The sequence below is a fragment of the Homo sapiens genome, chromosome 21 (genome assembly GCF_000001405.40).
Source record: "Homo sapiens chromosome 21, GRCh38.p14 Primary Assembly".
Classification (NCBI taxonomy): Eukaryota; Metazoa; Chordata; class Mammalia; order Primates; family Hominidae; genus Homo; species Homo sapiens.
In genome coordinates this window covers 41140410-41164705 of record NC_000021.9, presented here as the reverse complement: position 1 = coordinate 41164705, position 24296 = coordinate 41140410, and the positions used below count along the sequence as shown (strand labels likewise).

Genomic DNA, 24296 nt, shown 5'->3' with positions numbered 1-24296 from the left:
TTATCTTTGAAGAATGCTAAGAAGCCCAACTCATTATTTTTAAAAGCTGGTAAAGAAAGGAAAGGGATCAAGCATGTATTATCTTAACTTTCCTGTACAAACTATACGTCAGTATAAGCAAATAGTAGATAAAGGCGAGTTTCTCTTTGTAAAAGTATTGCAGCTAATAAATGAAGGGACGATAGAATTAGAATGTTGCCATTTTACTTCCCTTAATGAGTTAATGAATCTGGACACCGAATGTACATGGCTGATAATATTAGAGGGAGAGGGAAAGAGAAACACCCTGACATTCTAAGCCTTCGGATGGAAATCCGCAATGCTACCCATCTATGACATGTTATCGCCAAACAAAACAAAACAAAAAAACCCTGAATCTGAACAAGCCTGTACATCACAGGTTAGCAATCTGCCTTCTTGGGACCAAATCTGGCCAACTGCCTGTTTTTATAAATAAAGTTTTATTGAAACACAGCCATAGCCATTCGTTTAAGTCATAGCAACAAAGACAGAAGGGCCCACAAAGACCAAAATACTTGCTGTCTAACCCTTTTCAGTGAAAGTCTGCCAACCCCTGCTATAGATCAAAAGAATCCCAGTACCCCTATCAGTCTCTTGCAATAGATGGACCTTATTCAGTCCTGATTTGAACAAAATGACAAAATTGTTTATGAGACAATTAGAGAAATTTGAACACTGGTTGGATGATATTATGGAATTATTGTTAATACTTTAGGTGTGATAGTGGTATTGTGTGTGTGAGAGCTCTTATCTAGTGGAGACACATGCTGCCATATTTATGGATGAAATGAGACTTGTTTCAAAATAATGTGGGTTGGCAAGGATTTCAGGCAATATTCTCAGTTATTTAATACAAAAATGACCCTATTAGCAGGCATTATTATCATTCTCATTTTACAGACGAGAAACTGAGGCACAGAATTGATAGTTGATTGGTGAGAGGTGGGAATGGTATTCAGAACCCTGGGTCTGATTTCAGAGCCTGTACTCTTCCTCATGGAGCCAGGGCCACCCCTTTGATGTGAACTTTCTGGAGCTCATGGACTGCCCCAGCTGGAGAGGCCTCCAGAATGCCACCCGCATCCTGGCAGGACACAGAAAGTGCAATAGGCCAGTGGAACCCTACAGGCTGCATCCATAACCGGGCACTTAACAGACATATGCTGAACCCTCCCTGTGCCAAGCTCCACGCTAGAGGCGGGCTCACATGGGCGAATAACACCCAGAAAGCCCCTTCCATCAGAAATTACAATTTGGCAGGAGACAGACTGACTGTAAATATGTTTCCTTTTTGGGAACACCACTCTAGCTTCTAGGTGGAGGAGAGTTGGGGGTGGTGAGGCTGGAGACAGGGAGACCGATTGGGAAGCTGCTGCGAGGATCCGTGAGGACAGTGGCGATGGGCGTGGGAGGGGGAATTTAGCATTTAGTGCTTAGGAGATGAAGCCCTCGCAGCACAGGGAAGAAGCATCATAGGACTCTCATGTGATGGGAGCACTCAACACACAGCCATCTGCATCATAATCTCTCCTGTTTGCCTGGTGCTGGTGCTGTTCAATTTTCAGAGCAATATCACAAATCCTGCCTCATTTTGCTCCTCAAGCAGTGGGAGGCAGGGATGGTAGGGATGATAATTTTCCTTATAAAAAGAAATTGAGGGACAGGAACGCTGAGCTCCCACCATGTCCTGGGACTCTTATCCTCCAACACTCCCAGGTAGGCACATGCACCTGCATCACAGAGGACGACGCGGAGGGAGAGAGTTGATGACTCGTCTGACATCACAGTGAGGAAATGACGATCCCGGATTTGAACCCAGTCAGCTTCAGAAGCCTAAATATTCTTTTACCTAACCCATGTCGCCTTCTTCAAATGACTAATTAGGTACCTTTGGGACCAGAGGGAAGTAGGGATTCACCTCGGACTTCCTTTAAAGAACAATTTTTCCTCATGTATTTAAAATGGATTCCCATTTACAGAAAGCCGTGCATGCTTTCAGGAGCATATCAGTTGGATAAATAAGGCCCATTACTATGATATTACATCAGCAAGGTCCCAGCTAGGCGAGGTTCTACCTAGAGAGGTGGGTGGCTAAAATGATAGAGGTTTCCAAATGTCTGTTTACCATCAGCCCTCCTGTATTAATGAGCGTGGAGATACTCCATGGAAGGCTCAGAGGCTCTGAGCCTCAAGACCTGGGATCAACTTCTGATTCTGCTTAGACCGTTGGCATGTTCCAGGCAATTTTCTGCCCCCTGAGCTCTGGTTTCCTTATTTCCATGTCTACCGGCCACCTCCGAGGGCATATTCTCATAGACTCAACATGAATGGCCCCTCCTGAAGTTGTGTGTCAGTAAGTCTCAGTTGACTCACTGTAGTGGGCTTCCTGAGGATGAAATCATATTCTACAGTCTCTCAGTTCTGTTTGTTCCTAGTTTAACCACTCCAAAGCCAGGATGCAGACGCCACTGTAGCGTCTTATGTTCTCCATGCCACAGCCATGGCATGGTGAGGGTAGGCATATTGTTGTAATTCCTGGTGTCATGATGGGAAACCACTCTCCTGACATTTTAGTTACCAAATGACTAAGGATCATTGGAGAAGGTGTCTAACACCTTCCTGTTGACAGCTTCTGACAGTGTCAAGAGAGCCCCAGCATAAACATTTTCAGGAAGGTGTCAGGGGCTGGGGGTGTTCTGGAGACCATAGGAAACTGCTTGTAGTGAGGAGGACAGTGTCCCCCAAGGATGTCTTTGCCCTAATCCCCAGAACCAAGAAATCAGTTGCCTTACATGGCAAAAAGAACTGTGAAGATGTGATTCAAGGAAGATCTTTGAGATGGGGAGGTTATTTTGGTTAATCCAGATGCTAGCCCAAGCTAATCAAGTGCATCCTTAAAATCAGAGAACCTTTCCAGCTGTGCTCAGAGGGTGCCATGACTGTGGAAGAATGGTGGGTCAGAGAGATGCAACGTTGCTGGCTTTGTAGCAGCGGTAGAGGCCATGAGCCAGGGAACACAGGCTGCTGGAGAAACTGGCAACAGCAAGGAAGTGGACTCCAGAAAGCAAAGCAATCCTGTGACCCCTTGACAGCCCAGTGAGGCCTGTGGCAGACCTCTGACCCGGAGAAGTAGAAGACAAGGTTTGCTTTGTTTTAAGCCACAAAAGTTGTGATAATTTGTGACTGCAGTGTATAGGAAACTCATATGCTACTCTTATGAAATTCTCTACCACCTGACATCTTAATGGCAAAGAAGATGACAGCGCATGGAAAAACATGGATATTGATGACTCCAAGTCCAAATGTGATTCAGAAGAGTTAGCCTGAGTGTGGAAAATGTTAGGAATGATTTAACAATTGATTTCACCTATATATAATGTTTATATAAGAATGTCTAAATAGGGCCCAGCCTTCTTCATACATACAAAACAGAAATCCTAAATAATAATAATAAAGTATCATGGTTTAATGGTAGCATGCTTTTAGTAGTACATGAAAGGATGGTTCTTTTGGTCGAGGCATGTATCCTAGTATCATTAGAGCTGGTGAAACTGGGCAACACTTGGAACATAGCAGTCGCTCAGCAGACACTGGTTTTCCTTTCCTGAGAGTGTCATCTAGGGTTTTAAGCCTGTGACCCCCTTGGCTATGTGTATCTGTGACTTTTGGGGTGCCTATGTCGACTGCCTGACCTCCTTATTTCTTGGGCTTGGTCTGAATGCCCTCTGTTTCCCACTCTGTAACTGCACTGTTCCACCTTTCCCAGCGCACCAAGAACACTGTCCATTTCTTTTCTTTCTTTCTTTTTTTTTTTTTGAGAGGCAGTCTCGCTGTGTCTCCCAGGCTGGAGTGCAGTGGCGCGATCTCGGCTCACTGCAACCTCCGCTCCCAGATTCACGCCATTCTCCTGCCTCAGCCTCCTGAGTAGCTGGGACTACAGGTGCCTGCCACCATGCCCGGCTAATTTGTTGTATTTTTGGTAGAGACGGGGTTTCACCGTGTTAGCCAGGATGGTCTCGATCTCCTGACCTCATGGTCTGCCCGCCTTGGCCTCCCAAAGTGCTAGGATTACAGGCATGAGCCACAGCGCCCAGCCCCTTTTCTTTCTTTTATATTACGTTTATTGAGACATGGTTTACATAAAGCAAATTTCACCTTTTTAGGTATGTAGTTCTTTGAGTGTTTAATTTTATATATATATATATATATATATATATATATATATATATATGTAATATATATTTCTATATATATTAAAGTATCCCCTCTGTACTTTTGGGGGGTACCAGTGGTTTTGGGTAACGTGGATGAATTGTGCAGTGGTGAAGCCTAGGTGAGGGAATGGAATTGTCTTTAGAACATGCAGCATCCTTCTGGAATTCGCGGGGGCTTTCAGATCATCGTGACTAATTGGTATTAATGCCAACGCAAGCAGGAATGAGGAATCCTGGAGTGGCAAAATCTGAAGTGGGTTGCTGGCCACAGCAGACTGACTCCTTTGGCAACACAAGTGTTTCAAGAATGTATTGTATTTATGTGGTCATTTTCTGAAAGTCTTCATCTCTCCCCTTCCCTGGTAAAAATCTGGAGGAAGACCAATGGAAGCTAGAGCCTGCAAAAGTGTCTGTTTTCACAGGGACCATTTGGAGATTGTCCTTTGGGCAGATTTATGAGTTGATCAGAGGAAAAAAGTAAAACAGTGAAGGAGGGAGGGAAGGGGGAAAATAAGGAAGAAAGGGCAAGAGAAAATGCAAGTCAGACTGCAGGGCGCAGCTGGGCATCTGCATGTTCACACCCTCCCCGGGAGATTCTTGTGCTCAGCAGAGTTTCGGAACCCCTGGCTGGTCCTGTTTAAATTCGATCAGTTTAATGAGATCAAGTGCTTCGGGGCATCTGGCCTGGCAGGGCCCTTAGCCGACAACAGGAACCCCAAGAGAAGAGGGCGGTGCTGCAGTTCACCTTACGATGCTGATGCTGTGATGTAAAAGGTGGGAGAAGAGACCCCCGGCAGCCGTGAAATGCTCTTAGGCTCGGCTTTGCATGTGCTTCTCTGGACTTTCCAGCGCCCTCTCAGAGAAAGCCCTAAGATCTCACCAGTGCAGAGGCCAGAAGTGGGGTTGGGGGTCAGGAAAGGTAAACCTGGGGCAGTTGTGGGAGAATTAATTAGAGAACCTCAATAATTCCACCACAGTGTCCCCCACAGAAGGTGACTATCCAGCCTTGGCCTGCAGATTGACCTTCCACAGCCACTTAGCTGGCTCAAGTGCCAGCTGCCACCCGGCACATTGGAGCTCAGCCTTTATCCTGCCTGCCTCCATCCTACCCGCATTGGAGCTCAGCCTTTATCCCGCCTGCCTCCATCCTACCTCTGCACCACACCCAAAGGGGAGTGTGCCCGCTACCCTTGCCCACAATTCCATTCCCTTCACTGTCTCCCAAAGACTCCTATTAAACTACTGACAGAGAGAGCCCACACTAGCTGCCCAAATTCATCCACCTTAGCTGGCACATATCAATATGTGTAGATGGTAAAAAGACCCCAGCACATGGGATCCGCAGCTGAGGGAGGGCCACTGAGCTGAGAGGGCCCTGGAGAACCTAAGAAATCATTCTACATTTCCCCCTCTCAGGTAGATTTTAGAAGCTATTCTATCAAGGAAATAAGAGCTTTTACTTAAAAAAAATAAAAGAGCAATAGGAGCTAAAAAATAATCACTGGAGATAAAAGTATAATTTTTGAGAGTAAAAGAAAAGCTGAGTGGACGTAGTAAATGGCAGAAGGGACTAAGCTAAAATCTGATGTCGTGAAGTATCGGTTTAGTGTAATTTAAGGCATTATCACAGCCTCTGAACAAAAAAGCAAAGAGATGGAAATGAAGAAAGGAACAAAAAGAGATCCAGGAGACTTTTCCTTCCATGTCACAGGAGTCCAAGAAAAGAGAACAGAAATGGTGGAGGTAAAACAAAGATCAAAGGAACAAGAAGTTTTCCTTGAGCTGAAGACATCAGATCAACAATGTTTGCCAAATGCTTGGGGGGTTATTTTAAAAGACACTTAAGAATTCAAAAGATAAAGAGAAATTGTTTAAATGTGTGTCCGGCTGGCATGAGACTCTCTGGAAGACTAGATGGTAGCAAACACTAGAGCAACAGATCCCAGGGAAAGTGACACACTCCAGAATTCTATATCCAGCCCAACTATCTGTCTTGTGGGAGGAAGCAGAAAAAGTATGGTTTACCTTCCATGTGCCATCACTGTATTTTTACTCACAAAATACATCAACCCAATGGACAAAATGAATCAGAAGGAGGAATTCAAGAAAAAGAAGGTGAAGTATCTGAGAAACAGTCATATAAGTGAAACGAATGAATCTGAACAATTGTGGATAACATGACCAGAAAAAAAGTACAGTCAGGCATTGCTTAATAATGGAATACACTCTAAGAAATATGTCATCAGGAGATTTCATCATTGTGTGAACAACATGCAATATACTCACACATGCCTAGATGTCATAGCCTACTACGCACCTAGGCCATATGGTATGGACTGCTGCTGCTACACTACAAATCTGTAAAACATGTGATTGTACTGAATACTGTAGACAATTGCAAAATAATGGTAAATACTTGTGTATCTAAACATATCTAAACATAGAAAAGATAGAGTAAAAATACACTATAGAAGGTAAAAAATGGGACACCCGTGTAGGGCACTTACTGTGGATGGAGCTTGCAGGACTGGATGTTGCTCTGGGAGAGTGACTAAGTTGTGTGTGAATGTGAAGGCCAGGGACTTTACCGTCCACTACTGTAGACATTATAAGCACTACACACTCAGGTTACACTAAATTTATTTAAAAATTTTTCTTCCTTCAAAAAAAAATTTTTTCTTCCTTCAATAATAAATTAATTTTAGCTGACTATAACTTGTACTTTATACACTTTATTATTTTTAACTTTTTGACTTTTATAATCATAACTTAAAATACAAACACATTATACAGCTGTACAGAAATATTTTCTTTACATCCTAATTCTATAAACTTTTCTCCATTTAAAAAATTTTTTATTTTGTTTATTTACTTTGTAAACTGTTTCATTAAAAACCAAGACACATACACACATTAGCCTAGGCCTACATGGGGTCAGGATTCTCAGTGTCACGGTCTTCTGCCTACACATCTTGTCCCACTGGAAGGTCTTCAGGGGCGATAATGTCTCCTGTGATAACAACGCCTGCTTCTGGATACCTCCTGGAGGACCTGCATGAGGCTGTTTACAGTTAACTTATTTTTATAATTGGAAGGAGTACCCTCTAAAATAATGATTAGAAGTATAGCAAATTGATAAATCAGTAAAATAGTTGTTTATTATTATTACCAAGTATTACATGCTGTATATAATTGTACGTGCTATACTTTAATTTTATTTTTATTTTTTTTCTTTTTTAAGATGGAGTTTCACTTTGTCACCCAGTCTGGAGTGCAGTGACATGATCTCGGCTCACTGCAAATTCCGCCTCCCGGGTTTAAGCGATTCTCCTGCCTCAGCCTCCTAAGTAGCTGGAATTACAGGTGCCCACATCCGCGCTCAGCCAATTTTTTTTTTTTTTTTTTTTTTTTTAGTAGAGACAGGGTTTCACCATGTTGTCCAGGCTGGTCTCAAACTCCAGAGCTTAGGCAGTCCACCCGCCTTGACTTCCCAAAGTGCTGGGATTACAGGCGTGAGCCACCACATCCAGCCGTCAACTAACTCTTTGAGTTGGAGGAGTAGGGTAAGAATGAGAGGGAAAAGGGAAGGAAAAAAGAAAAAGAGTCTGGCCGGGGTGTGGGTGGGGCTGGCGTGTGATGAGAGCAGAGGTTGGGGGTGGAGAGTGGGAGAGAGCTTAACAGGGAGGGGGAAGGGAGGTCACCCCAAGGACTGCATTGTTACTCAGGATCCACCAGCTGTGTGCTCCCCAGCACACCATATCCACTCTTCACACCTTGGCTTCCTCCTCTGTTAAATGGGAGATAGGGCCCAGTTCATCAAATATTTGTGAAATTAGGTAGGAATACATGTCAATCACCTCACATAAAGCTGGTACGTTTTAAGCCCTAGTCACTGGGTATTATTTTAATTAATACTAATTACTATTCCTGATGGTGATGGGATAATATAGGTTCAGACATATTTTTAAACTCTTTTTACATAAACTTAAACCGGAAGCTGGGGTGGTGTCCCTCTGTGCTAAGCCACACAAATGGAACCTGGCTTCCTAGCGTTGGGTTGGGTTGGGTTGGGTTTGGAGGGTGGAATTTGTTTGCTTTTTCTTCTGGAAGGTTGGGGCTCCTCCTCTTCCCTCCCTTTCAGGTGGGTGGAGGCTGATTCCAGGGTAGGGAAGAAAGCACTTAACAAAGAAAGTCACACCTTTATTCTTCTCCCCGGAGCAGAGAGGAGGATGTAGGCCTGTGTACACAATGCAATTGCAGCCATTTGTTTTTAAACTGCAGACGTGGGATTGGAACCACACGCCACTGTTCCTATTAGTTCCCTTGAGCCATCCATATCCTGCAAAGAGCCTCAGTCCCTTGCATGATGATGAGAAAATGTCAAAAGTTCTCCTACAGATCTGGGAGCCAGTTGCTCTCCTCTGGGTAACATTCTCTTTGGAGTCACTTGGGAAACTCGGGGTGGGCACACCAGGGTTTTATCAGGATGGGGATCTGGGAGCTGGGACGCCCGCCATTCAGCCTTTGGAGCTTTCTGACAAGGCAAAGAACCTTGGTAGAAACTTATCTCCTTGGGAAATCTGTTTAAAGCTAGGTAATCACTATCATCCTCATTACTGTTTACCAGCCACAAATCACTCAGTCTCAAAAAATTCTTAAGGAACTGTGGATTGTGGGTGCTATCCCCAACCTATAAGTGAGACCATCAACACCCAGGGAAGTGAAGGAACTTGCCCCTCCTGGGTGGAAACACTGGATTCCAGCCCTGGAGAATCAGATCCGTGGTATAACGTCAGGAAGAATTTGAGGGCAGCACATTTCTTTTAGGCTTTATTGCTGTTTTTAGGTTATTTTCATTTAAGAGAAGAACTTTTATTTGCGTTTGAAAAAAAATACTTTCATGTATCTATACTTTATAGAGATGAACAGTAGAACAGTAACAACGTCCCATGAAATGAGAACAGCCTTGCCTTATCTCTTCTTGAAGGCTGGTGGCTTTCTGTTTATGAATGTGGTGATTTGCTCATGAATTTGTCTTTCCTTCTGCTTGGGAATGTGATGGTCGTAGTGTTTTTATTTTCCAAACTCTCTGTGAGGGACCTTCAGCTGGGGTATTTTGTACGCAAAGTTCAAAGGTAAACACGTCATATCCTCAAGTCTCAGCTGCCACCTCATTGGACATTGAACTTGATGGAAACCAAGCTGGGAATAAGCTTCCATAACCCAAGGAAGGACTTTGGGCTGGACACGGTGACTCAGGCCTGTAATCCCAGCACTTTGAGGGGCTGAGGCAGAGGATCACGAGGTCAAGATACCAAGACCATCCTGGCCAACATGGTGAAATTCTGTCTCTACTAAAAATACAAAAATTAGCTGTGCATGGTGGCACGTGCCTATAGTCCCAGCTACTTGGGAGGCTGAGGCAGGAGAATCACTTGAACCCAGGAGGCGGAGGTTATAGTGAGCCGAGATTGTACCACTGCGCTCCAGCCTGGGCGACAGAGCAAGACTGTCTCAAAAAAAAAAAAAAAAAATCTTTGGCTGCAAACTCCAGAATGGAGTATTTTATATTAGTTCTTGAATAAAACTTGGAATCATCTTCAAACCCCAGTCCCCATCTGACCTGAACCCTTGGCAATATTTGATGCAGTGCTGACCACTCTAACTCCATTCTCTTGATTTCTGCAATGTCTTTCTCTTGGTTTTTCTCTTTCCTCTGAGTCCCTCCTTCGCAGGTTCTTTTGTGGGTTCCTCCTCTTCTCCTCCACTTCTTAGTGCTGGAGATGCCAGGGTGCAGTCCCTGGTTCTTTCCTGCGCCCCGTCCATTGTTGATCTCTGGGGATCTCACCCACATTTCAATCATGACTCAAAATATCTCATCTGTTTTAGTTCCAGCTCAGACCTCTCCTGAATGCCCACTACTCTTATACCCTCTGCCTCTTTGATAGTCCACTGGGCTTTCCTCACATCCATCTCAGATTCTACAGCATCCACATGGAATTTCTGCTCTGTCATCCCCTCTCTTCCCTACCTGCCATCCTCCTCACCTCAGCCACAGGTCCCATCTGTCCCTCTTGCTGTTCAGACCACAGTTTGGAGACACCCTTGACTCTTCTTTTTCTCACACCACACATCCAGCCGTCAGGAGTCATGCTGGATCTACCTTCGACCTTTACCAGAAACTGACCAACCGCTTCTCACCTCTCCACAGCCACCTGGCCCCAGCTCCCATCCTCCCTCACCTGCCACAGCCTCCAGCAGGTCTCTGGCCTCCACCCTTGTCCCCATGGTCTGTTCTCTGCCCAGCGGCCCCAGTGATCTTGTTAAAATATGGCACAGAGTGTCCCTCCTCTGTTTAAAAGCCTGCAATGGTTCCCATGGGACTGCATCTTACAGTGGTCCTTGAGGCCCTCTGTGGTCCATAAGCCCCCTTGCTCTCCCACTGCAATCTGTTCTGCTCCAGCCCCTCAGGCCTCCAGCCTCATTGCGACTCTGGGGAATGATCAGGTGGGCTGTACCCTTAAGGCCTCCTTGCAGCCCCTTACTTCTACCTGGAAGGCTACCTGCTGGATGGCTCCAGGACGAACACTCCTACAATTCCTCAAGTCCTTGCCCAGAGGGCACCTCCCATTTCCAGTCACAGCCAGGCCCCTTCCTCCCTGCCTTGGCCCAGGCACTCCCTGACTCCCTATGGTTTTCATTTTCCTCTTTCCTTTTTTTCTTCCTTCTTTCTACCTGCCTGTTTGCCTGCCTTCCTTTCTTTTTTCCTTTCCTTTCTTTCCCTTCCTTCTTCTCTTCCTTTCCCCCTCCCTCTTTTCTTTCTTTCCTTTCCTTTTCTCTTCCTTCCTTCCTTTCTTTCTCTTTCTTTTCTTTTCTCTCTCTCTTTCTTTTTCTTTCTCTTTCCTTTCTTCCCTCCCTGTCTTTCTTTCCTTCCTTCTCTCCATTTGTCCCTCCCTCCCTTCCTCCCTCCCTCTCTTCCTCTTTCCTTTCTTCTGTCCTTCCACAGCTCTAATCATTTTATAACAGACCACACAAATGGATGGCTCATTGTGTTTGCTGTGGACTTTCACCATCTCACTGTGCCCTGTCTCCCTGCATACCTCCCTCCCCAGCACATAAGCTCCACGAGGGTAGCAATCAATCTTTGCCTATTCTGTTGACTGATGTATCCTGAATACCCAAAACAGAAGGTGGCATGTCACAAGTGCTCAATACATATTTGTTGAATGAATGAAGCCATGAATGAAAGAAGGAATCACAGGGATTCCAAAGGAACTGCCAGGGCCCTCTTCTTTACTGGATTCCTAGCTTGTCCTACAGTCTGGGTGGCCCTTGCACATTCTCCTGGCCGCCTCAGTTCCTGCCACTCTGGGCTGAGCTTAATGTGCTACTGGGGTCAACCCACATCCTGCTGGCCACTCTGAGTCCAACAGGGTCCATCTCAGGTGTGGGAGACACCATTGCTCCCTAGTTGTGCCAAGCCATCCATGAAGCCACTAAAACGGCAGGGCTCTGAGCCCAGCACACGGACTGACTCTTCATTTTCTACTTGGCAGGAGGCACTTGAAGTACAGACAAAGAGAAAAGTCTACCAAGGAAAGGGAGAAGAGCAAGCTGAGGACGCCAAAGAATCTTGTTTGGGATCTGCAGATAGCAACAAGAATCTTTAATAAGTAAGACTTCCATTAAAAATAACTTCATGGGTTTTAAAAAGTCATTTTCAAATGAGCAGGCCCTCAAACTTCTGATCTGGGACAGAAGACTGAAAACACAATTTTTTCATTGTCTTTTGTCACTAAATACATAGGATTTTGTGTAACTCCTCTTTTATTTGTTCATGTAAACCCAGTTGATTTACAGGGTATTTTGTTTTTTTAAGGCATAATTCTTTTAAGTCCACTTATTTCTTCCTATGCCTACTGATAAGGTTTGGCTGTGTCCCCACCCAAAATTTCATCTTGAATTATAGTTCCCATAATCCCCATGTGTCCTGGGAAGGACCAGGTAGAGAAAACTGAATCATGGGGGCAGTTTCCCCCATCCTGTTCTCACTCTTGTGAGTGAGTTCTCATGAGAGCTGATGGTTTTATCAGGGACTTCCCCCTTCTCTGAGCACCCATTCTTCTCCTTGCTGCCGCCATGTGAAGAAGGAAGTGTTAGCTTCCCCTTCTAAGTTTCCTGAGGCCTCCCTAGTCCTGCATAACTGTGAGTCAATTAAACTTCCTTCCTTTATAAATTACCCAGTCTCAGGTATGTCCTTATAGCAGCATGAGAACAGACTAATACACCCACTTTCCATATTTAATATTTTGTGCTACCATATCTATAAAAAATGGGGCTGTTAATATATACAATTCTGAAAGTGCTGTTAGTATGAACAGATCTCAATGTGGACATTCAGGTTAAATGATCTTCTATTGTCCCTCCAGCCAGAGACAACACAGGAAGATACTGGGCTTAGGTCTTGACTTCCATATGCTTGCAAATTCTGCTGGGAAAGAAAACAGAAGAGGAAAATGGAAATTGCATGTATATGGGGCCATCCGTGGTTTGGTGATCTTGGCTATCTTTTCTGCACATGACCTCACTGGCCTTCAATCTCAATCTCTCTCTCTCTCCCTTCTCTCTCCCTCTCTTTCTCTCACTCTTTCCCTCTCTCACTTTCTCTCTCCTTTCTTCCTTTTTATGTCCTTTGCATGTTCTCAGGCCCACTTTCATGTCTGTCTTCTATCAATGAGGGTGACTGACTCTGGAACCCCAGGACCAAGCATCTCAGGTAAAGCAGAGAACTTACCCGGAGAAGCAACACTTATTGTTGCTGGCTAACATTTATTGAGCACTTACTGTATACAAATGCCAACGCTTTACCTTTACTAAGTCATTTAATCCTCCCATCAACCTGATTTTAACAGATGAGGAATCTGGGGTACATAAGGGTTACATCACTAGCCAGAGACTAATTGGCAGTGGTGGGGGAAGGTAACTGATATGAGATGATTTTGTATTTGAGAATATTTTGCAAAATGTAAAATCCTATACAAACTTAAATAAGCATCAGAGCTCTGTTATTCATGCATCTCTAGGGAATAGGAAGCTTAGATGATTTCAATACTTGAATAAAGTATTTTACTGCATTAATAGCTTACAATATTAAAATAACGACGTTGCAGGGTATGATGGATGAACAGTATCATCAGGGGCTTCAGTAGCAACTCTTCAGAGCCCTTTCTGGGTAGCAGATGTGACAGCTGCAGCAGTTAGGTTCTCCTAACCCACAACAACCCAAAGGTACTTTCACCGTGACCACCCCACAAATGAGGAAACATTCCTTAGTTACTCAGGTAGTGGCATCCTCCATTCTTCCAAGCCTTGACCTGTGCTCCACAACTGCATTGTTGAAAGTGATCTTGGGCTTTTTTCCCCAACAGCTGCTCATATCGGGTTCCATTTCTCCTCCTGCTGGAGAAGCCTCACCAGGTCCTGGTGCACACAGGAAGGTTTCCCTGACCACCCCAAGCTCAGAGACCCCATTCTCCCCCATCACACACACACACATGGAGACACTCAACCTCCACACACACAAGCACACATCACACTTACACACTGTCTCGCCACACCACACTACACACCTCACATCACACACCCAGACACATACATCACACACCACACACACATCATATACACTCCCTCACCACACAACACTACACACCAGACATCACATACTCAGACACACACATTGCATACCGCACACACATCATATACACTCCCTTACCACACCACACTACACACCACACATCACACACTCAGACACACACATCGCACACCACACACACATCATATATACTCCCCCACCACACCACATATCACACACCCAGACACACACATTGCACACCACACAGACATCATATATACTCCCTCACCACACAACACTACATACCACACATCACACAAGCAAACAGCACACAGGACACACACGCTATACACCACACACATAGCACACACACATCACACACGCCACACATATGGCACACACATTGCACACCACACGCGGCACACACATTGCGCATGCAATGCTACACACACACAATACATACTACATACCACACAAACACATCACATACTACCACATACAGACACATACACAGCACACCCATACACATCAGTATCTCTTGATGGCTCGTTAGCCATAAACCGCATTGCATCTGCTCTCACACCAGCCCCCCTGTGCTCACGCAGGCTTTCACTTGGTCCTGCCCCAAGCACCTTCAGGACAGGTGCTGTGTCACGCTGCTGCCCCTGAGGCATATGGCTGGTCCCCGGCTGTCCTAGACTGCTCGTCAAGTCCCCCTGCCTCGACCTGTGCTCTGGAGGACTGGTGACTCTCCAGTACCATTGGATGGGGCTTCCATGTGGAATGGCCAGAGGGGCTGGACATTTTCTGAGACACAGACTATGGCTGGCTGCTTTTGGTTGGTGGTCCCATGAAGCCAGCCACAAGCAGAACCCCTGGACACTGACTCAGTTTCCCCAAGACTACTTGACTGAGGGAGGGCTCATCAACCCTGGCAGGTTTTTCTCAAACAACTCCCTGTCCTCCCGGTCCTCACCTCACCTGCATCCTGTGCCCTCCATCCCCACCAGGAGGGAGGAGAAAACCAACCCCAATGGTGCCCGCATCTGGAATTATCTCCCTGGCGCTCAGGTCAACAGCCTTTCCAAGAACACTCGATGTGAGCATCTGCAGCCTTTGCTTCTCATTTCCTCCTAAGAGGAGCCCCTGGGATGCTATGAAGGAAAGCATATGGAGGGCAAAGGAGACTCACAGATTAATGCTTGGAATTCTGTCCCATGACATCCCATGCTCTGACCTTGTGGCACAGGGCCTTTGGATGCCGCAAGTGGTCATAGAGGCTGACAGCGCATGTGCCCCATGTTGAGCTGGACTTCTTCTAAGCAGCTACAGTATCAGCTTATTGAGTCTCCATGACAGCCCCATGTTGACCTGGCTTCTTCTAAGCCGTTACAGTATCAGCTCATTGAATCTTCACCACAGCCCCATGTTGACCTGGGCTTCCTCTAAGCAGCTACAGTATCAGCTCATTGAATCTCCGTGACAGCCCCATGTTGACCTGGCTTCTTCTAAGCAGCTACAGTATCAGTTCATTGAATCTTCACCACAGCCCTGTGTTGACCGGGGCTTCTTCTAAGCAGCTACAGTATCAGCTCATTGAATCTTCGCAACATCATGCATGGCAGATCTAACAATTGTCACCCTTGTTTACAGATGAGGAAACTGAGGCACAACTGGCAAGTGGCAGAAACTGGTTAAATGCTCAATGAGTAGTTGTTGAATCTTAGAAGGAAGAGGAAGCTCGTTCCGCTCCGCAGCAGCGGCAGGGTGGGGCTGCCCTGACCCACCTACACTGTCTTTGAGCATTTGGTGCCATTTTGGGATAGTGAGGTTCCTTTTCACAGGGGAAGCTGCAGTGTCTCCCGGGGATGGTAGCCTTTTCGAGAAGCACAACCAGTTAGCTTGCAGAAGTGGGGACGCGACTGTTCTGCATCTCCCTCTCCACGCACCCCCACTTGCAGAAACAGCCAGCCGCTCTGTCACTGAACCTGCACGAAATGCCCTGTGTCTTAGGAAAATGAACAGTGTCTGTTTATCCAAGATGAATCTACTCTAGATAAGAATGTATCAACCTCAGACCACATTGTGTCTGCAAATATTTTTCTCCGTTTCCCGATTGTTTAATGGACAAAGCGGGTTTGGGGGAGCTGGGGAGAGTTGGGCAGTTCTCACTGAGCACCAGTCCTTGTTCTTGAGCCTGTAGTTTTTGTCTCCACGGCTGCAGAGACTGGCCAGGGTCTCATCTGCCATCCACCTTCAGAATGGTGGAAACAGTTGAAAAGAACATTGCAGTGAAGCTTGGGCTGGTTTGCAAGCAGGTCGCATCTTAGAAACCCTCCTTGCCGCTTTCATGGCAAATGCTCACTTTCTCCAGACCCCCTTGCTTGTGTGGGCAGGGGTCGGCATGCACGGGGTTCCTTTTTAGAATATGGGTGCAAATATCACAACAGTTTGCATAAGTCTCCAACCGCTTTTTCCTCCTGTGAATCAAACTTGCTTTTTTCCCGGTTAGAATATTGTGAAAGCAAAACAAACAAATAAACAACAACAACAAAAAAGATGTGGGTTGGTTCGCCTGCTTGTGCGTATTTCTTTCAGTGGGGTCAATGAATCCCCCATTGTTTGCTCCTACAGGCCCCTCATTGTGTCCATGGGTAGCCCTGTACCAGGTAATGAAAGGATTTCTCTTATGTTTCTGTTCTTTGTTTTCAAGGAACAACAGAGAGATGGTATTTCCAGACAAGGGAATAAATTCCCGGAAGCAACTGGCCAAGGAATGAAAATCCTGGAGAACAGAGTGGAAGAAACGCGTATTCCACATTTCCTGTTGATTTTCTTTCCTCCCTAAACACTGACCTCCCGCAGTCTTCACTAGCAGGTAAGCCCATTTTCCTCCCTACACCACCATAGCCTGTAGGTCCCTAACTTCCAGACCCTGCTCAGGGTTAAACAAGCTGGACACTGAACAGCCTCTGGGGGGTGCCATGTCTAGCAAGTCCATGGGAATGAGAACCGTTGGGTTGTGCAGTCCACACCCTGCACAACTGTAAGCTACTTAACTCCAGGCTCAGAGCCAAGCGAAAATGCCAGCTTTATTATGCTAATTAGACTAATGATCTGCTGACTTTTTGGAGTAAGAGGCTTTGACCTCCCTGCTCAGCACAACCAGAATGAGGAAGCTTTCAGAAGACAACAGCACCTCAGGGGGCCCCAGCAGCCTCTTCTGCCCCCAAGCTGAGGACTATGTCCAAAGGTTGCCAACTCAGGCTGGGGTAGGGGGTTGTCAGCTGGGCCTGCAACCCTCTTAGGTGTCATCTGCTTCATTATCCTCTCCTGGCAGGGTGTTCTGGCCTCCAGAGCATCTGGATGGGTTCCAGGATATAAATGTGACACTGTCATTGCATTAAAGTAGTCGAGCTGAAACCCCTGAAAACAATCGTAGGACGATGACAAGGTTTTGGCAGCTGCAATCTTAAAGACCAGGAAGTGAGGTGGGTAAATACCTAGGATTTGCAGCCTCGTGACTTGTCAGTGCCCTGGGGTAGAACGGGAGCCTCAGCGGCTGGTTCCAGTTCCCGACCAGTGCTGGGCTGGATGCTTCTGGGGGCTCCCCTTCCCTGCTCAAGCGCTCCTCGTCTTTTGAGGGAGCTAAACGGTATCCACCAGGGGCGGTGAGGGTGTCTCTGAGTGCCCCTCTGCCACTCTCTGCTTGGGGCTCTCCATGCTCTCTGTCCCTGTGGCTCTCCCAACCCCATGTCCATCTCCTCCCTTCTCTTCCATTGTCCTCCCTTTCATGGCAATCATCCTGCTGCCCCCTCACAGCTGATGTCTCCCCTGAGCCTCCAGTGGTGTGATTCGTCTCCCTCTGGTGGACTCAGGGCTGGCCACGCTGCTGCCTGCAGCTTGCACTCATCATAATATCAGCCACAACTAATACGTGAATTGCTTTTCAGAGTTCAAGGAGGTTTGCAGCCTCACGGTGCCCTTGGATCTTTGCAACAGTCCCTTGAAAATGGTAGAATCTGGATGCTTTTATACAGATGCATTTATTAGGTTTAATAAACATATTACTTTTTCAGGCATCACGTCTTTCAAACAGACGTTTTTGTTGATCAACATACAATAAAGCTTTTTAAGAGTTTATATAATCTACACTAAATCTTTCACAAAAGCTAGGAGTAGAATATAATAGCACCAATTACTTTAATTTTCTCTTTACCATAGGGCAAGAGTAAATACCCTGCATTTTTACAGTGCTTTATACTTGGCCAGAAAAAACCAAACCTACATTTAATTCCCAATATAATAGGCTCATCCAGCAACCTTTTGAGGTGAGGGAAACAAGACTTATTATCTCAAGTTTACAGGTTGAGGAAATAAAGGCTTATATAAGCAAAATAATTTGTTCAGAGTTGCAAATACCTGGTAGATAGCAGAGGTAGAGTTTGATTAAAGTTTCCGACTTTTAAAATGACAGAACTCAATTTCTTTCTTAAAATTATGCTTTTTTGACATAGATACAGAAAGACAAGTGCCTACATATGGTCCTCCTCAAACTCTGCCATTCACCATCCATTTTTCTCATGTCCTGCAGGAAAGGATCCCCCACCCCACGTCGCCACACAACTTTTTGACTCATATTTCTCACTCTTCTCTCCAGTTGCTTCCATGGGAGCAGAGAGGCTGACCACAGTCTTGGGCAGCTCCAGTGGGCCTGGCGTGGCACTGCGCACAGAGCTGAGTGGGTCTGGCAGGTGGCAGAATGTGACCTCACCTAATGAGTAGGAAGGGAGGGCTTCCTGGACAATTTCTCACGTTCTCAGAATAAATGAGAATGAGGGCTGGGCATGGTGGTTCACACCTGTAATCCCAGCACTTTGGGAGGCTGAGGTGGGTAGATTGCTTGAGCCCAGGAGTTCAAGACCTATACAAATAATAAGAATAATTTAAAAAGCCAGGCATGGTGGCACACACCTGTAATCCCATCTACTCAGAAGGCTGAGGCAGGAGGGTCACTTGAGCCCGGAGGTCAAGGCTACAGTGAGCCATGATTACACCAATGCACTCAGCCTGAGCAACAGAATGAGACTCTGTCCAAAAAAAAAAAAGAAAAAAAAGAAAAGAAAAAAGCTGGGCACAGTGGCTCACGCTTGTAATCCCAGCAATTTGTGAGGCTGAGGTGAGAGGATTGCTTGAGTCCAGGAGTTCGAGACCGTACTGGACAACATAGTGAGGCCCTGGCTCTATGAAAAATACAAAAACTTAGCCAGGTGTGATGGTACGTACTTGTAATCCCAGCTGCCTGGGGGGCTGTGGTGGGAGGATCACCTGAGCCTAGGAGATCAAGGCTTCAATAAGCAGAGAAGGTACTGCTGTACTCCAGCCTGGGTGACACAGCAAATCCCTGTGTCAGAAAGGAAATGAAAGGAAAGAAAAGGAAAGGAAAGGGAAGGGAAGGGAAAAAATGAGAGTAGCCACATGATTCTGTCATTTAAATCTCACAGGGTAACAGAAGCAAATCATCAGTGCCTGTCTTTGAACTTGATGAAACTGTCTCAGCCTCATGACCTGTGGTACTAGACAGAGACCACAACACCTTGTCTATCCAGAGTGTGGGAGCACTGTGTGCAGTTAGCTCCTGGAGGCTTGTCCTCAGTAGGCTTAGGGCATGAGGAGCCCTGGAAAGCCCAGGACCCCATGGAGGGCCCTGGAGAAACAGCACCTGTGGCTGAGGGGTTCACAGGCCCAGCGAGATCCACTCAGGTAGGCGCTAAAGGTGGAAGTGAGGAGGGGTGGATGTTGGAGCAGAGGTACACTTGGGATTGGGGAGCCAGTGAGAGAAAGGTGGAAAATGAGGGGACTCGGTGATGGGATGGGGTCATCTTATGATTCGTCCTTGCTGAAGTAGGAGCACCTACTTTACCCCAGTTGCTACTGAGCTCACTATGAGATCTAAGGAAGAACTAGAAAGGCCAGTTTTGTGACTGCTGTCCTTTCTTCTTGTCTGTACTTTCCTAACCTAGCTCTGAATGCTTTGGTGCAGGAAACATTTATGTCACCTCCATCCTGCCTGAGCGAGTGAAGCTGCCAGGACGCCTCTACTCCTCCAGCAGAAGGGGGCAGGTGGAGTCATGGTTCTCCTCCGGGCTTCCTTCGGAATAGTCTGTCCCACTGGGGCTTGATCAGTGTCCCAGTTTCCTGTACACCTTCAATCTCCAAACTGTGTTCGGGAGCATTTTTTAATGTCTATTTTTAACCCAGATGCCCTCCCCTACTTATCTCACCACGCGGTAACTCCACAATCACATTTGCTGGAGGAATTCACCTCCATGTCATCGCGATCCCCCAGAAGCATTTGCTTCCCATTCCTGCCTTGAAAGATGTGAATCATAAACACTGGTTTCTGTAGGCACCACTGATTTCCTGATTTAGTTTTGATCAACCTCTAGAGGAGGAAATGCATTCAGCATCATATTATAAATGGCAGGTTGGTGCTGTAGGAAGAACAAGGACTTGGAAGTCAAATAAGCCTTGAGCAATCCTGTCTAACTGTGGGACTTTGAGTAACATTTCTCGGCTTCTTGGGACCTCAGTTTCCTCCTCTGTACACTGGGCGTGTCATCCTTCCCTCACAGATCAACAAGAGGAAATGCACTGTCCTGCACAAGCATGGCGCCCAGGGCTTGGCACTTGGGCCACTTATGGGAGCCCACTTTCATGATGCCTCTTCCTGCTAAGGAGAGTTGGGGAGCCCTGGGAGGCAGGTCCTGCTGCCTGTTGAGGAGCACCTTCCACCCCTGAGGGAACTCAGTGAGGCCCTTTGATCACCAGCAACCACCAGAGTTAGGAGGAGCCTCAGGAGGAGCAGCTCTGCCCACATCTAGATGCTGGATCCCCAGCTGAGAGAGTACCTTCCTGTCATTTAAGCACCCCCAGCTTGTGGTGCTTTGTTATGGCTGCCCCAGGAAGTAAATAGGAGAATTGTGTCTGAGGGCCAGCCCCAGCCCCTCGTTTCTGTTCTGGGGGAACACATAATGATGCAAGAACACGCACTGCCTCATAGCAGAGGCAGCCTGGCCATTGTCTCGGCCACGACACTTGTTGTCATGCCAGGAGTCTGTGACACATTCCTGCGCCTCTGACCCTGGCACCTGGATGGGGGTTTCTGGGCTGCTGGGACTGCCAGGATCCCCGTAGGGCAGAGGTCGGTCACCCTATGGGTGTCTGGGCACAGGTGAGAGGGAGAAAACAAATGGTAAAATCTCCAGCGGGCATTGGTCCTATACTTTCTGGCTAGCGAGAGAATCCTCCCACAGGCAGGTCTGAGACAGTCTTCTGAGTAAGATTTCTTTGGATGGAGAAGTTTTATGGGGGAGAGACAGGGTTGCAAACAACTGATTCAAGCCACGTCCTTTCTTTCCCAGGTGAGGTCACCTGTAGAGGTCATGCTGCGGAGTCCCGAGTCCCTGATTATATTCAAGACGTGGAGCTCTCTTTTTCCCGTCCTGCTTTCTTTCCAGAAGTGCCTCAGATGCATCCTCCCCTTCTCTTTTCTCCACATGAAGACGTCACTGACCATCTTCTCTGGTTTGCTTTCCAACACCGAGCACCAAGTGCTTCAAAGGTCATGGTGCCCTGGGGCCGAGAGCTACTTATGTGGGCATTTATAACCAAATAAATATTGAAATGGCCCACAAAGCAAATGTTAGTGGTAACCAACAGCGGTAAAACTGGGTACATGGGACCCTGAACCTTCTTGAATATTCCCCATGAGACCCTGGGCCGACCTTCGGGCTTTCCAGTGTGCTCAGAAAATCCTCCGTGGCTCCCAGCCCCAGCTTAGTCTTTCAACGGTCCTCGGACTGAAGCAAGAGACAGGGAAGGAATTGTCCAAGGTTTTCCAGCATGCTGAGAACACTTACCATGGTGGAGCCTGGCACGTACTGGCTCTTTGATGCATGTGTATTGGTCTCAAGTAGCCAGAAGCATCTCCTCTGAGAGCCCTTGCCCTCCAGTTTAAATGGCAAATGGAAGGGAATGGGTTCTGGAAGGCCCCAGGTGGGCTGGGGTGGGTTCTGGAGACCATCTTCCAACTCCTGTTCAGGAGGAGGGTTGGTCAGATCAGCTCTGTGGCCACCTGGGCTCTGGAGGGGCGAGATACGGGCAGGTGCGGCCACAGGAGGGAGAGCACCATGTGCGGGGGAAGCCCACAGCTGGAACCAAAAGGCCCCAGGAGGGATCCTGGCTCTGACATCTCCCAGCCGTGTGGCCTTGGGCAAGGTCCCTGACTTGGACCTCAGCCTCCTCATCTGTAAAACAGGCAGAACAGTAATACCGACCTTGTAGGTTGTATAGAGTTCATATACATCAAGCACTTACCACAGTGCCTGGCGGACCGCATGCCCTAAACACACAATCCGTGAAATGAATCCATCAGCAAGCAGCTGCTAGGGGCAGTGTGGGGCAGAGAGGCAGCTGCCTGCTGGAACTGGCTGACAGGAGGATGAGTGTGTGGCAGGAGGAACGCTCTGCACAGAGGACACTAGGTAGCGTCACCTGTCTCTTACCCTGTGTCTCCACTGGAATGGAATGTCAGACTCGCACCATGCATTCCTTTCCCTGCCAAAACGCCTCCTCTTAGCAGTGAGCAAGAAAGTTGTTCGAGTGGATGAAGCCAAAAGCCCATTTGGCAAGAGTGCTGTTTTGGAAAATGCTTAGCGGTGTGGGTTGGGATGAGGTTTTCTGTGCCTTTCCATTATTTCTTCAGCTTCATGTAACCCTGACTGAGCAATGCTCAGCAGAGTGAAGGCTGGGCAGCAGATGGACAAGATTTTCTCAAACTCCTTTTTAAGCCAATTTCAAAATAGAGAGAGGGAAAAATCCTTGTTTTCTCTTTTCGGTTTTGAGAGGTTTCATATGCAGACACAATTTTAAATTTTATTTTTTTTGCCCCCAATGAGATGTTTGGAGATGGTGGTACTAGAACAGGAAGGAATTTATAAGTATTGGGGAATTTTTCATCCCAATTCCCATATCCTCCTATAATTCAAGGAGTGAATGGGTAGTGTTTTTGTTTTTGTGAGAGGGGTGGCGGAGGGTAGAGAGAGAAAGAGAGAGAGACAGAGAGAGATTACATAGAGGTGTCCAAAATGAACACAGTAAAAACCAGTTTTGATTAATTCTGCAATATTAAGTAGGCAGCCAAAAATTTTGGTCTGCTTAATTCTTAGCTCATCTAAGTCTCCAGTTGACTGATTGATTGATTGAATGACTTATTCAACATGCGCTAGCCAGACACTGGTCTAGGGCCCAGGAATTCAGCAATAAATGAAACAAGACCAAAAAAATGCCTCTGTGAACCTGACTTTCTTTGGCAGAGGGTGGGGAGCTGTGGCACAAGGGGGGCCACATCCTGGCCAGCCCATCCATGCAAGCCACAACCGACAGATGATGGCCAAGGAACTTCCAATTCCTTGCACAGCCTCTGCCTGTGGCCCCACACTCTTGGCTCCCTGTGCAGATAACAACCCCCACCCGGGTTTAATCCAGGCTGAAGCCATAAGGGAAATCAAAAGCAGCCATTCCCACAATGGAATGTTTGAAGAATTCTGGGTCAAGAAAAGTTCCAGTGGCAAGTGTCACTCACCCACACCAAGCAGGATGCAGCCTGCTGGGCAGCATCCAACACATTAAACTTCCTGCTCTGTCCAGTTCCTCATGGTGCATACTCTGCATGCCATGGGAATTTGGGGCTTTCCAGTTCCATGCCTGGGAGTCACCCATAAATAGGTGAGTTGGATGTCTGCTACCATTTTTTATTTGCTTCCAATTTAATGATATTTATCCCCCAGGGACATTGCTCAATGAATCCTCATTCACAATGTGTCAGGCACATGCTAGATACTGTGGGAACAAGGGGATATGGCAGACTCAGTTGTTCCAAATTCTAGCAAGCTCTGGATCTGAAGAATTCTGGGGTTTGCAGTGATCCCAGGACTCAAACACCACCACCACCACCACCACAAACAGCAACACAACACAGTGCTGACAACTACAGGAACGATAGCAACAGAATACATGGCGGCAGCAGCGACACTGCTGGGCGTGGAACCAGGCCGGGAGCGTGAGTGGCTCTGCAGATGGAACCCAGCATGCTGAGCATGGTCAATTTCTCTGGCAGAATGAAAGGATGCTTTTTGGGCTAACAGTATCCTCAAAAGTCCAAACTTTCCCCATAAGAGTTGAGAAATGCGGAGGTAACAGGAGTCAAGAGAAGAAAGAAAACAAAGGACGGACAGCCAGAGGGCTCCGCAGGGATGATGATTTGATTTGGAAACAAGGGTGTAGCAGAGCCTCTTCTGCCCCAGTTCAGGTCCTCGAGGCACTTCTGTACCTTGTGTTCTTTTGGGGTGAATCTGACCAGCTTCGCA

The 24296-nt window shown here is 46.8% G+C and overlaps 1 long non-coding RNA gene across 1 annotated transcript, besides 2 other annotated features; it reads left to right on the top strand.

Moving 5' to 3' along the window:
* LINC00323 (long intergenic non-protein coding RNA 323) lies at positions 16642-23206 on the top strand. The gene is made up of 2 exons (NR_024100.1): positions 16642-16744; positions 21291-23206. It is a non-coding gene; the product is annotated as a long intergenic non-protein coding RNA 323 (long non-coding RNA).
* Positions 16728-17312: an enhancer, noted in NCBI's record as "NANOG-H3K4me1 hESC enhancer chr21:42519321-42519905 (GRCh37/hg19 assembly coordinates)". NCBI's record gives its function as "activates a minimal SCP1, AML or CMV promoter by ChIP-STARR-seq in naive H9 embryonic stem cells {active_cell/tissue: H9 hESC(naive)}" and the evidence as "EXISTENCE:reporter gene assay evidence [ECO:0000049][PMID:30033119]".
* Positions 23363-23559: a silencer, noted in NCBI's record as "fragment chr21:42513074-42513270 (GRCh37/hg19 assembly coordinates)". NCBI's record gives its function as "represses an EF-1alpha promoter that drives an FKBP-Casp9 reporter gene in an ReSE screen in K562 erythroleukemia cells {active_cell/tissue: K562}" and the evidence as "EXISTENCE:reporter gene assay evidence [ECO:0000049][PMID:32094911]".